This window comes from Homo sapiens, chromosome 4 (genome assembly GCF_000001405.40).
Source record: "Homo sapiens chromosome 4, GRCh38.p14 Primary Assembly".
NCBI lineage: Eukaryota > Metazoa > Chordata > Mammalia > Primates > Hominidae > Homo > Homo sapiens.
The window spans coordinates 29,613,709-29,629,238 of NC_000004.12; positions in this window are offsets into that span (position 1 = coordinate 29,613,709).

A 15,530-nucleotide genomic window follows, 5' to 3' on the forward strand; every position below is an offset into this window, starting at 1 on the left:
CAGTATAGGTCTCACATAAAGTTTACTTGTATATCGATGTTTGTGACTGAATGATATTCACATCTACGTTATTGTATGTTAAAACATTTTTAAATCACATTTTTAAACATATTTTACCTTTTTTTCTAATTTTAGGAATTCATCTTCCCTTCCTTTACCATCAATTATTGCAGTCTTCCCTAGTCTTTTTAAGTGTATGTGTTTCTTTCTCCCTTGTTTTTTTATAATTATAAATTCAGTAGAGTGTATACTACTCAATACATTCATATTTTTATTTATTTATTTTTATTTTTATTTAGTTTTTTTTTTAACAAATGAGAAAGTTTCATTTATCTCAAAAAAATCCAGGCTATACAAACAGACAACTGAAAGTCATATTTTTAATATAAAATAACTCTTTATTTTAATATTAAAACATTTCAAGGGATAAGAAAATGTCTCTGAATGGGCTAGGCATGGTGGCTCAGGCCTGTAATCCCAGCACTTTGGGAAGCCAAGGTGGGTGGATCACTTGAGGTCAGGAGTTTGAGATCAGCCTGGCCAACATGGCGAAACCCCATATCTACTAAAATTCCCCCCAAAATTTAAAAATAGTCAAGCATGGTGGTGCACACCTGTAGCCCAACTACTCAGGAGGCTGAGGCATGAGAATGGCTTGAAATGGGGAGGCAGAGACTGCGGTGAGCTGAGATTATGCCACTGTAGTCCAGCTTGGGTGACAGAGTGAGACTCTGTCTAAACAAACAAAGAAACAAACAAAATACAATGCAATGGAATATAATCTAGTGAGGAATACTAAGAAATATAAGTCTAATTCTGTCTAATGATTAAAATATTCGTACTGGTTTTCATTCACAAATTCACTGCACTCTGAATTATTGCAGAGTGGTAATTATTACCACTCAGGTGGTAAATTACTAGCAGAATTATTTAGATTTTTAAACATTTTTAACGTTAATTTATATATTTTCTTCAGGTAAGACAAGGATCTCATGAAAACTCTGTAACTGTGGATTAGGAGTGAGCTTTCTGAAAGAGTCTATCCAGTGTTTCTGTGGGAAAGAACCAATTCGGGCACTACACAAAATAGGAAATTCACATGGGAGTTACAGTGCAGTAAGTTTTGTGGAGGGATTTCGTGTTTGTTTCATTTGTCTGTAAAAGCATGATTCACTGAAAGAGACTCTCCAAGGACTTTAAGGACTCTAGGGCTTCTGAAGTTCTTCAGAAATATATAACCAAAAGTTTCATTTGGAAAAAAATATGTGATCAGGACAACTCACATGCCCTATAGCTTCTATTTATCATCAAAATGTGTTTTAGATACTCCAGAGGATTTTAAAATCTCCTACACATATTCCAGAGATACTCCAGGGTGCCACTGGCTAGAAATATAATTGGCAAAATGTCCATAATGCATCCTGCCATCTGGTATGAGCCACCGGCTTATCGTACAGACAGAACACTTGGGACGTCATTGCTCTAGAGATGTGTAGATGCCTAGAGACCCGCTAGTAGTGGCTGTGTTCCTGGGGATCTTTATAGTTATCTTCCTGCAGCTCAGCATGCTTCAGCTGTGCCTGGTCACAACTGTAAGAGACAAGGATGCTGAGAAAAGTAGAATGAGAGAAGGGTAGTTGATACTCTCACATGGTTAATGCCCTTTCATTACTAGAGAGACAACTTCCTTACTGTGATACTATCTGTTATCTTGGAGAAGGTGTGTTACCAAAGGAAAAGTCTAGAGTTTTACTCTGCAAGCCTTTATTATTAACAACTGTAAAAAAATATTTAGACTGTGTTATGGAATATATTTTTGGTGACCATTCGTTCAGCAGATAACAGAGCACATCCTCATTCATTATTTGGCATCAGTTTAGGATCAACTAATGCTTTTATATTCACATGAACATATAGAGAATGTATATTTCACATATACTTATAGATACATGTATAGTAAAAATATACCAAGAAAAACTTAAGCATATTTCAGGTACAATCAATACAGAAAATCATAAGTATGAGGAAAAATAAAATATTAACCTGACTAATATTATTTTTGCTTAGATACAGAGTAACTGAACAATTAGAGAGTTTAAGTAGACACTGGATTTTATATCTCATCTAGACAATACTTTTGGTGCTAACTATACGATAATGTTAATTTGTAATAAATAAATGCACCTTAACTGTAATAGGTATATACTATTTCAACAAGTTTCATATATATATAAAATATTGCTATTGGATATGTACATAGAAACATAATATGTATGCATATATATAATATATAAATAATATATATAAGCACATATATGGAAGCACAATATACATTCATCAGTTGCTGTTTTGAGTTAAGAAAATTGGTCCGGCGCTGTGGCTCACGCCTGTAATCCCAGCACTTTGGGAGGCCGAGGCGGGCAGATCACCTGAGGTCAGGAGTTCAAGACCAACCTGGCCAAAAAAGCGAAACCACATCTCTACTAAAAATACAAAAATTAGCTGGGCGTAGTGGCATGTGCCTGTAGTCCCAGCTACTTGGGAGGCTGAGGCAGAAGAGTCACTTGAACCTGAGAGGCGGAGGTTACAGTGAGCCAAGATTGTGTCACTGCACTTCAGCCTGGGTGACAGAGTGAGACTGCATCTCAAAAAAAAAAAAAAGAGAAAAAGAGGAACAAAAACAAATCACTTCTGAACATTTACGGTAAACTTTTTGACACCTAGTACAGAATGAATTGTATTAAGTGTTGTTAGTAGAGTCAACTGTACATTGCCACTGTCCAAATTATGAATTTTTATAAGTTCACTAATATCTTCAGCAAACACATCAGATGTTATAGTTTAATGTGTTCAAACTCCTCCACATATCCTTGACCTGCAGTGATACCAATGCATATAGCTCAGAATCAAGTTCTCTATATCACTGAGAATAGAGTCTAGGACTTACCCCTATGCCTTCTTCATTTTCTAGTTTCTCAATCCAGGAGGAAAACTTATGTACAAGGTTTTTTTATGTTATGTTGGAATAAAATATTACTTTGTTCTGTGTAGATTTATTAGTTTGCTAGGGCTGCTGTAACAAAATACCACTGACTAGGCGCCTTAAACAACAGATACATATTTTCTCCTAGTTCTCAAGGCTGGAAGCCCAAGATCAACCTGGTAGGTTTAGTTTTTCCTAAGACCTGTCTCTTTAGTTTGCAGATGGACACCATTTAGTTGCATCTTCACGTGGCCTTTTCTCTGTGATGCACATCCCTGGTATTTCTTCATCTTCCTATAAGAAGATCAGTTTTAATATTGGATTAGGGCCCCATTCTGAGGACCTTATTTAACCTGTCAACAAATACAGTAGCATTGGGAGTTAGGGCTCCAACTTAAGGATTTGGAGAGGGAGGTGCATAATACAGTATTAACAGTAAAGTATGACGCTGTCAGTATATTTGAAAGGATATTTTGAAGAACTTTCCTGATCATTACTTCTAACTAACTCATCACCAGATTCATTGAAAATGATAAAAGAGTTCCAGATTTCCAGATACTTCTCTAACTACATTTAGTAAGCAGACATTTCCTACACATCACACAGAAGCTTCCAAAGTTTGTGTAACATACTTGAATATTAATGAAAACTTTATACAAATTTCTGAGGTAGAAGAAGGATGAACATGAGGCCAAGTAATTTAGACATTATATGACAATACAGATCTACTTACCGGTTTGCCAACTGAAATACACCCGTAAACTGAAGAACTTGGCAATCAAACTACCTGGATGATTCTGTTTTTTATTTAATTTTAATTTTTTTTTCTTGTAATACACCTAGAGAAAGTGTGTGAAAATAGGAAGGCTAGACACTCAGGAGTGAATGTGCTCAGGGTACAAAAGATTTATCAGAGGAAGCTCAGTTCCCAGCTCCTCTTTTGTCTCATGATTCACTCTCGAGCTCCATAAGAAGATTCTGTGAGCCAACGTGGGTGGGTTTTAGATAGAACCCTTTTTTCGGTTGCCTCCACGGTGTTTCCAACCTTGGCTGCAATGATAACTTGATAGGCTTTCAGAGCGTGATTACATTGTGGACATTGTCCTGTTTTTTAGTTTTTAATACAACTTTTAGGTGTAGATATACATTACAACTAAAGTAAATGTGTGTAATCTAGTATAGAAAATGGAAACCAGCTGGCAAAGTACTATTTGGAGAGGACAAAAACAAAATTTGAATGAGTATGAGGATACAGAGCTCTGCTAGCCAGCTTCCCTCCTACTTCATTCCATGTCAGCTGTAGGTGACAACTACTGGGCTTCCTGAATAACAAAGAAGGTATCTGATTCAAATATCAATATTCCTACATTATATTTATAAAAAATCAATTTGATTTTCTTCAATAAGTGAGGACTTTATCATCCACAGAAGGATAATCTCTTATTTTACATGATAGATTTTACAAATCTCTATTTGCATGATAGAGAGTTACAAATGTTATCCACATAATTTTTCTAGTCATTTTTATTTCATCTTCTTGAATAACTGCAGAATTAATTTAATGATGATGTTCTGTGATAATTTCTTGAACATCTGAAAATACCATTCTCACTCTTTAGAAACTCATTTTCATCTTTCTTCCCTTTTCTTAAAATACTTTTAGTTCTTTCAGTTTCAGAATACAGGCTAGAAGTGTAGGCATTCTAACATTGCCTTCTCTGTTCCTTCAATTATTTCGTTAGTGCTCTCATTCTTTGCGTTGGTAAACAGTTGGCAAACTTTGGACTGTGCTACACTTTTGGTTAATATTTTATATAATGTCATTCAAAAGAATCATGGGATATGTATAGTCTCCTTGTACATGGTAACAAGAAGTTGTCTTTCCCATCTATGAACCAAGCATCCCAACATAGCTCTAGTGCCAAGATGAAAATGTCATTAAGAAATATTGTTTAATCCTTCAGGAGGCTGAGGCGGGCAGATCACGAGGTAAGGAGATCGAGACCATCCTGGCTAACACGGTGAAACCCCGTCTCTACTAAAACTACAAAAAAAAAAAAAAATTAGCCGGGTAGTCCCAACTACTGGGAAGGCTGAGGCAGGAGAATGGCGTGAACCCGGGAGGCGAAGCTCGCAGTGAGCCGAAATCGCGCCACTGCACTCCAGCCTGGGCGACAGAGAGAGACTCCGTCTCAAAAAAAAAAAAAAAAAAAAAAAAGAAATATTGTTTAATGGTAATAAAATTGTCATATTCTTCTCAATACTTCTGTCAAAATTCACTTTCTCTTTAAGTTTTATTTTTTATCATACAATACATACGTACACCCTTTGAAAAGAACATAACTGTTTATTATATGATCTTTTTCTTTAAAATACAAAATGGAAGCAACTATTTTGTGTTTGATTCAACACAACAATTAAAAAGTTTGTCCACTTATACACAAAGACCATGTTCTTTTCTCCCTTTGTAAAATCAGGGTTGTAGTTTATCTGCTCAGTAGCATGATTGATCCTTTTTTACTGTGTTCTCATCTGAGTGAATAAATCAGGACATAGCTACCACCTCCAAATGTTCAATCTGACCCTACAATTAGCTTTCCACTGATTCTGGTTCCTGATTACCAGTACAAACCTCTACTTTGAGCTATCCCATAATTAGTCAGACAATACGATGTCATGTGCAAAAATATCTTGGCTGGTGTAACATTTGCTAAGCACTCATCTGTCACATCCCCTGGATGAATTTCGTGCCCTTGCTTAGTTAAGAGGCTCACCAGCTCTACTTCCCATTACATTGACACTAATGTGGCATCTGAAATTTGAACACAGCAATTAAATGTTTTTGAGCTTTTCTTAAATGACACCTGGCCAAATCCTACACACAAAATTTTTGACTAGTTTTTCTTAAGTATGAAAAAAATTTCCCAAATGTTACATGGTTCTAAAGGTGGTACAAACCATATACATTAAATGTTGATTTTATTACAAAAAATGAGGAGCACTGAATTGAAACTGAAATTTTCAATCAACTCAGAAAAAAATGTAATTTTGTATTACTTGTTTTTATTTATATATGATATTATTATGTCTTCACTTATCTGTAACTTTCTAAAAGTATTTTTCAACTTGGATTTCAATATTTGCCTTATGTCTTAACAGTATTCAACCTGTATATTTGTAAGAACTGTAGTCTCCATATTTGATCTCTTGGTAATATATATATAATTGAGGGGGCAATTATTAGAGCTATAAGAATTCAAAGGAAGTCCATTATGCTTTTCTAATCAAGATAAAGAATAATAGGCATTTTTATGAATTAGCACTACTAACTACTTCCCTCAATAAATTCATTTCAGACTGAGTAGTATCTCAAGTTTACAGGTTACAGGGCTTAGTGCAGGTACTTAAAATACTAGTAAACATAATTTAATAAGAGCCCTTATTTAATTATTTTTTCCATTTATTTATTTAAATATTATAGTCTAAAATAAATATAAGTAATATTTTTGTAGTCAATTGCTTTTTGACCAAAGAACTGAGAAAATTACAAGGAAAAAAGAAAATCTCTTAAATAATTGATATAGAAACAACGGAATATTTAGGGAACAACAACAAAAGAAAAATTTTTACCACTATGTCACAACATACACAAAAATTAATTCAAGACAGGTCATGGACTTAACTATTAGGGCTAAAATTATATGAAGTGTGTGCAAACATAATTTGCTGTTTTTGTATTGTTGGAATTTGTGTTTGATATTGGAATACATTCTTAAATAAATGCAATTATGTTATACATCATTTATTTTATTTTTAATTTTTATTTTTTGAGTCAGAGTCTCACTGTGTCACCCAGGCTGGAGTGCAGTGGTATGATCTTGGCTCACCGCAACTTCCGTCTTCGAGGCTCCAGCGATTCTCCTGTCTCAGCCTCCTGAATAGCTGGGATTACAGGCCCATGCACCACCATACCCGCTAATTTTTGTATTATCAGTAGAGATGGGGTTTCGTCATGTTGGCCAGGTTGGTCTCAAACTCCTAAACTTAAGTGATCTGCCTGCCTCTGCTTCCCAAAGTGCTAGGATTACAGGCATGAGCCACCACACCAGCCTGTTACACATTATTTTAAGGGGCATTTCTCATTTTATGTTTTTTTGCAAATGACTTATTACTTGCTGTTTATATTATGTTTATTTTAGACTATGGAAATGATGTTAGACAAAAAGCAAATTCAAGCCTTTTTTTTTAAATTTGAGTTCAAAATAGTTCGTAAAGCAGCAGAGACAACTCGTAAAATCAACAATGCATTTGGCTCAAGAACTGCTAATAAATATACATATACAGTGCAGTGGTGGTTCAAGAAGTTTTGCAAAGGAGATGAGAGATTTGAAGATGAGTGTAGTGGCCAGTTGTCAGAAGACAATGACCGGTTGAGAGCAATCATCAAAGCTGATCCTCTTACAACTATGCTGGAAGATGCCAAGAACTCAACATTGACCATTCTTCAGTCATTCGGCATTCAAAGCAAATTGGAAAAGTGAGAAAGCTCAATAAGTGGGTGCCTCCTGAGCTAGGTGAAAATAAAAAAAATCATCATTTTGAAGTGTTGTCTTCTGTTATTCTACACAACAACAATGAATCATTTCTCGATCCGATTGTGATGTGTGACAAAAAGTGGATTTTAAAAGACAACCAACGACAACCAGCTCAGTGGTTGGACTGAGAAGAAGCTTCAAGTCATTTCCCAAAGCCAAACTTGCACAAAAAAATGGATGGTCACTGTTGGGTGGTCTGCTGCCATTCTCTTCCTCTGAAGCTTTCTGAATCCCAGCGAAAGCATTACATCTGAGATGTATGCTCAGCAAATGAATGAAATGCAATGAAAACTGCAACGCCTACAGCCGGCATCGGTCAACAGAAAAGGGCCCAATTCTTCTCCACAACAATGCCCGATCACACATCACACAATCAACACTTCAAAAGTTGAACGAATTGGGCTAGAAATTTTGCCTCAGCTGCCACATTACCTGACCTGTCGCCCACCAACCACCACTTCTAGCATCTCACCAGTTTTTTTCAGGGAAAACACTTCCACAACCAGCAAGATGCACAAAATGCTTTCCAACAGTTCGTTGAATTCCAAGGCACAGACTTTTATGCTACAGGAATAAACAAACTTATTTCTTGTTGGCAAAAATGTGTTAATTGCCATGGTTCATAATTTGAATAATAAAGATGTTTTTGAGCCTAGTTATAATGATTTAAAATTCACGGTCTGAAACCACAATTACTTTTACACCAACCTAATAATACAGATAGAGAAAAAAATAGAAGTAAGTTTTCATGATTTTGAATTAATCTATGGTGTTTCAAACTGAATAAAATATTAAATATAGAAATCATAAATTCAAACTTTATCAACATAAGAAACTTTGTCAAAGAAAATTATTAAGAAAATGATAATCTAAATTACAGATTTGGAGAAAATACAACTTGTAACCAGAACATGTAAATAACTCTTACAAATCAATAATAAAAAGACAAACAACCCAGCCTAAAAGAAAAAGGGGAAATTCTTTAAAAATATATTCACAATAGAAGATAAAAAATGGCCAAGAATTGCCTTAAAAGATGCTCATTATCAGGAATCATAAGAAAAATGCATATTAAAATCACAGTGTGACAACCCTTTAACAAACCAAGATGGCTAAAATAAAAGAGTGAACATTTCAAATGTCAGTGAGGATATTGGACAATAGAAATAATGGCATATTGCTAGTGAAGTATCATATTATGTAACATTTTAGAAAAGTTTATGTTATTCCTTATGAAGTTAACCTTTTATCTAGCAATTCTACATTTAGTTATTTATCCAACAGAAATCAAAACTTATGTCCACAAAAAGACTTTTGTGTAATTAATCATAGCAGATTTATTCATAATAGGTCCCAACTATAGTCAAAAAAGGGATACTGCTCAGCAAAAATTAATGCACAAATAATCTTTGAAATAACTGATGAATATCAAAAACACTATATTGAGAAAAAAAGTCAAACACAAAAGAGCACATACTATATGATTTCACTTTTATGAATTATAAGTAGGTAAAAGTAAATTATGGTGGCATAAATTAGAAAAGTATTTGTATGAAGGAAAGGGTTTGGACAGGAGCATGAAATAACTTTCTAAAGTGATAAAAATTTAAACATAGATTGAGGTCTTGCTCATCTAGGTGTACATATTTGTTAAAACTCATTAAACTCAGAGTTAAAAATTTGCATTTAATTCCATGTAACTCTTGTTTTGTGTAACTCTTGTTATATGTAAATATTAATTTAATTAAAATAATCTTACTATGCTAATAAACAGAATGAAGAAAAAGACTATATAAATTCCAATAGGCTTAGAAATACAATCATAGAAGCAACATATATTCTTGGATTTAGTTTCTAGTATTTTCTCTATCTGCATAATAAAAAAAACAAATTTTTCTGAGTATCAGAATATTCATGTAAAACACACTACTATAATGGCCAATACACAGTAACTTAAATATCATTGTCACATATTATCAATTCATAATGAAATAACTTGAGCTCGATTTGCATTTATTACATTAAAAACAGTTTTATCCAAAAGCTAAAAAAATATAAAAAGTAAAATGTAAGATATCTGAGTATCGCCATTTGGCATACTGTAAAAATATGATGATCTATCAGCAAAATTATGACACGCTTTGTGCAAAAATTATATCATTATTACCAGAATCATCACGAGAAAAAAATAACAAATAATGATTGACTGTGTATGTGTCTTGGTACAGGAGGATCTGATAGCTTCAAAGGATGCTTTATCTTCAATAATAATTTTTAAGGATTTAATGTAAATATCAGAAGATCTGAACCAGACACAGCTGAGCAAAAAAATTAAAGTGACATTATGACTTGCTTTTTCTCTCTTTCAGTAATTATAGTTGTAGGTTTACATTAGACTAAAATATTTGGTTAAGGCAATTTTCTTTTTCACAATGATTTTAATGAAAAATCAATTGCTTTGTTAGAAGGCAAAATTCTGCTTGATTGCACTACTTACTCCTCTTTGTAAACAATTGCTGTAAAAGAAAATCCCATCAATTTGCTTTTGCATAAAATCTCTTTCCTGTTCTTTAATCTCACATGTGTGTAAAATCTCTTTCCAGTTCTTTAATTCCACATGTGTGAAGAGAAAGATAAATCTTGGATATCTCCTAGTTACATGACTATGCTACTAGATAAACTTGACAAAGAAGATAATTTTAGCAAGGGAACTAGCTATGCATTTTATGTACTAATAGAATAAAAAGTTCCAGTGTTAAGTTTAACTTTTTACTTTTACTGTGCTCTGTAGCTGTGTGTCACATGTGATTATAAGGCCTTTCTTCCCTCAAGTAACAATTCCCTGGAGAAAATATGCTCCTAGCATAGCAAACATGGTAGGTACTAAATAAATGTTTATTGACTAAATGAGTGAATAAGCACATGTACCAGTCTAGGATTACCTATGTTACATTAATCTTAGGTTACATATATATTACATACAATATTTGTAATGACATTATTTTTCTTGATGAATTCCTACTATGGATAAATTACCATTTCTCTCTCTAGTATGCAACATTATATTTAAAGATCAATGATATTCACTAATAACTTTATCATGTGCTAAATTTCCCAGTGTCCTGCCATGTCTCTCTGGAACGTTTACTCTGGGCTATCGATTAGTCTATTACATAAGTGTCATGACCTTAATACTTTAATTCCAAAATTGAGGGACAAAAAAATATGCTGCTATTCTTTCTTTGTTTTGGTTTGGTTTTGTTGGTTCTTGTGCTTCCTAGACTGGATCTTCCCCAAATTCTATTTTTCTAATTAAAATGTATAAATCAATCTGACAAAAATTGACCTCTTCACAACATTTAATTGTTTATTCAGGAACATGATACTTCTTTCCATTTACTCAAGACTCTCAAATAATTTAATAAAACTCTATAATTTGAATTATTTGGTCATATCTATTTTTAAATAAGTGTTCATTAATTCATACTTTGGTTGCTGTAACGAATAATTTTTATACAACATATTTTTAATTAAAAAAATCTTTGATTTATGCATATACTTTTGGTTTTGAAAATACATTACTGTGGTCAAGAGAACTTCTTGCATCAGACTTTCTAAATTTAAAACAAATCTTTCCTTCTTTCTGTTTAGGCATTATTAGACAAGTTACTTCCCTTGTTTTGTTTCTTAGGGTGAAACATTTTTGGTTGTGCACAAAGTGTGGAATGAAAGTCCACATTTTCTAGCCTTATTTCTGATTGGCTTAATCAAAGAGATATGCATCAAATTATCTGAGTAATACTTTTGCAAGGAGTCCTATTCTGCTGGCAGAAACATCTTTGCACTTTTCCTCCTTTCCCCACCAAGGATGTAGGAATGATATCAGGACTCCTGTGCCAATACTGTAATGGAAGACCCTTGCTAAGTATATAGAAAAATTGAAGCTTGGTCCATCCATAAGTTCACGGACCCACCAGACAAACCCAAAGGTACCCTCAGCCTGACTTATTTTATATTCCATGAAACAATATCTTTTCTGAAAAAATTGTTATTCACTTACTAGTTGTAAGCAGAATTCATAACGGTTGACATTGTACACAGTATTTGTGAAAATTAAATGAATTAATACATGCAAACTTATCAAAGTAGTGTCTTACATACAGTATTACCTCCATGAATGTTAACTTTTATTATCAGGCCAAATGTTGTAAATGTATCCTTTAAACAATATAGTAATCTTATTGTTGATTTTTATCATCATTGAATAACTTGAATATTCATCGTAATAAATATATAACTTGATAATAATGAAGAGATATCCTGTTTCTAACCAAAATCAACAGCTTTTTATTCCTTCTTAATAGCATTGGGTAAAATTCCCAAAAAAATAAACAAATCAATGTGTTTATAACAAATATGCTTATATTATTGATGATATTAGGGCTTTTTACATTTCTTTATTCATGAGCTTTGTGCTATTTCTGATAAGTAATCATCATATTAAGAGAATTTGGGCCAGGCATGGCGGCTCATACTTGTCATCCCAGCACTTTGGGAGGCCGAGGCAGGCGCATCACCTGAGGTCATGAGTTTGAGACCAGCCTGGCCACCATGGTGAAACCCTGTCTCTACTAAAAATACAAAAATTAGCCGGGTGTGGTAGTGCGCAGCTGTAATCCCAGCTACCCAGGAAGCTGAGGCAGGAGAATCGCTGGAACCCGGGAGGCAGTGGCTGCAGTGAGCTGAGATTGCTTCACTGTACTCCAGCCTGGGGAACAGAGTAAGACTCCATCACAAAAAAAAAAAAAAAAAAAAAAAAAAAAAAAAAAAAAAAAGAGAGAGAGAGAATTCAGAGTTACTCCTATCATGAAATTTGGGTTTCATTTTGTTGTGGCTATAGTTCTGGGTATTTTTTTTCTTGCCATAATCAAAGTGGATTTAGAAGTTCCTCTTTCATAGTTATTAACAGGCTTTGCAACCTGGGTTGGCCTCTTAAAAGTTTTGTGACCTTGGAAAATTGTGGAATCTTACTAAGCCTCACTATCTAATTTACAAATGGGGATTACTTATCTCGTACGATTGGTATAAAGATTAGGTGAGTTAATGCACATAAAGCCATACAACAGTGCCTGGCATGGAGTGAGAGCTATATAGGAGTTACTTTCATGAGGATGATAATGAAGATGATTGACAAGCTCATAGTATATGATGTTCTCATGTCACACTTCTTTTTATTCCAAATAAGAAATAAATTCAGAACCAAGGAAAACTAATTCTAATTAGAATTTGTATGACTTATTCATATATGAGATTGATACACTATTGTGTTTTTGAAGATTTGTAATACAAAATTTGTATCAAATAAAATAAATTGAGCATACTTTCATAAGTTCCTTATGACTTTGGGGGAGTTTAAATAATATGAGAATTATCTCTTACTATTAGCTATGATGGAACAGATATATAAACCGTCTGTTCCTCACGCTATCATTGGATGAAGCCCTTTTCAATATATTTAAAAGTTATTCATTTAATTATACATTCTACATGCTCTGTAGAAAAGGTTGATACTTGTGAATGTTAAAATACAAATGACTAAATATAATTATTAAATAGTATGTAAATATTATATTCTTGCATATTTATTTTAGCATATACACATATTTTAGAAACATATGTTCTATCTATTTGATATATACATATATGAAATACATATGTTTTTAATATCTGCTATTCATAGTTGGTTTGTACTTCTTTTCTAGTTTCTATTGTGTTTCAATATTTGATAAATTTTTTTCAAATTTATTTTTAATACTTCTTCAATTTTTTGGGAACGTAGAAATTCATTAATTTATAGTTTCAAAAGAATTGGCATAAAGTTTGCATAGAAGCATGTATATATTTATATAAAACATGAATACTGATATATATGTAACTGTTATATTCTTTTTTAGTATATAATTTTAGAATCTATTTCCTTCTATTGTAAACATATAGCCCATCAATTTTCTCCTCAGCACTCTTTGGTTATATGCCATGAATTGTTTATATAGTGTGCACATGGACCTACCTTTCTATAAAGAACTCTAACCTCAATTTTGATTTCCTCTTTGACATAATGTTTAGTAGTTGGAGTCTAATTCCGGAGTGCTCAAATTATCAAGCAATTCTTGTATTATTTTCTATTGTTATTTCTGTTTATTCTGAGAATACACGCCATATAATTTCAATTTTTGCAAAGTATTGACATTTTTTATGTGGTATGTGATCACTTATGTAATTGGCAGATGGATCTTGAAAAACATCTGTTCTTGGCTTTTAATTTTTTACTTTTTTCAAATTTTGTTTTAGAATTACGGGGTATATATATGAAAGATTATTACAAAGGTATATCGTGTGATGCCGAGATTTAGGGTATAATTGAACTCATCACCCATATAGTGAGTATAGTACCCAGTGAATATTTTTTCAATCCTTTTACCCCTCATTCTCTCCTCCCTCCAGTAGTCCCCAATGTCTACTTTTCCCATCTTTATGTCCATGTATATCCAATGTTTCATTCTCACATATCACTGAGGGTATGCAGTATTTGATTTTCTGTTTCTGGATTAGCTCACTTAAAATAATGGCCTCCAGCTGCATCCATATTGCTCCAAAAGATATGACTTCCTTCCTTTTTATGGCTGCATAATATTCTACAGTGTATATGTCCCACTTTTTAAAATCCAATCAACCAGTGATAGGCACCTAGGTTGATTTCAAGGTTTAGCTATTGTGAATAGTGTTGCAGTGCACCTATGGGTTGGAGAAAATTTCACAAACTTCGCATTCAACAAAGGTCTAATATCCAGTATCTACAAGAACTTAAATAAACTAATAAGCAAAAAGGCAATAGCCCCCATTAAAAAGTGAGCAATGGACATGATCACTTCTCAATAGAAGACATACAAGGGGCCAACAAACATATTTTTAAAAAGCTCATCATCACTAATCATCAGAGAAGTGCAAATCAAAACCACAATGAGATACCATCTCACATCAGTCAGAATGCCTTTTGTTAAGAAGTCACACACAAAAATAACAGATACTGGTGAGGCTGCAGAGAAAATGCAACACCGATACACCGTTGGTGGGAGTGTAAGTTGGCTTAGCCTCTGTGGAGAGCAGTTTGGAGATTCCTCAAAGAACTAAGAGTTGAACTACCATTCAACCCAACAATCCTATTACTAATTATATACCCCCAAAAAATAAATCATTCTACCAAAAGGACTCATGCACTCATATGTTCTTGGCTTTTAAAGATTCAAAATACAAATATTTATATTTGTATTTTGGGGTTTATGCTCAGAACACAGAGAAATAACAATAGAAAATAACACAAGAAGTTGCTTAATAAGTTGATATTACAACTCTATATCTTTCTATTAGTTACAATATACATAGAGAGAGAAACAGAGCTACTGTTTAGATCTGCATAGAAATAATAAAGTATAGCCTCAAATAAAATACTGTAACCTTTTAAAGGAAACCACTCATAAACTATAAACAGAATGCAGGGTTTTAAAACTTTTGAATGGAGAAAAAACTTGATACAATTTACTTAAACAATATTATTCTTATTTTTAAGTATATTAATAATGCAGACTCAGAGCAGAGTGCTGTATTTAGGAGACAATAGCACATAATTCAGCCTAAATTTCTATAACTAGAAAAGGGATTATGAGAGCCATTCGATCCCTTCTTGGGGAAAATAGTGATGGTAATCAACAGGCAATGAAAACAGCATTTGGTTTTCATCATTGATTGAATAGGTATTGATATCAATGCAGGATGGAAAACAAAACAATTTTCCAAAACAAACTAAACACAAGAGGTCATATAAAATAATCAGCCTCTTTCAGTCAGTGTTGACAACAGTATGGTTAGTAAAATGTACTTTGATACAATTCTGA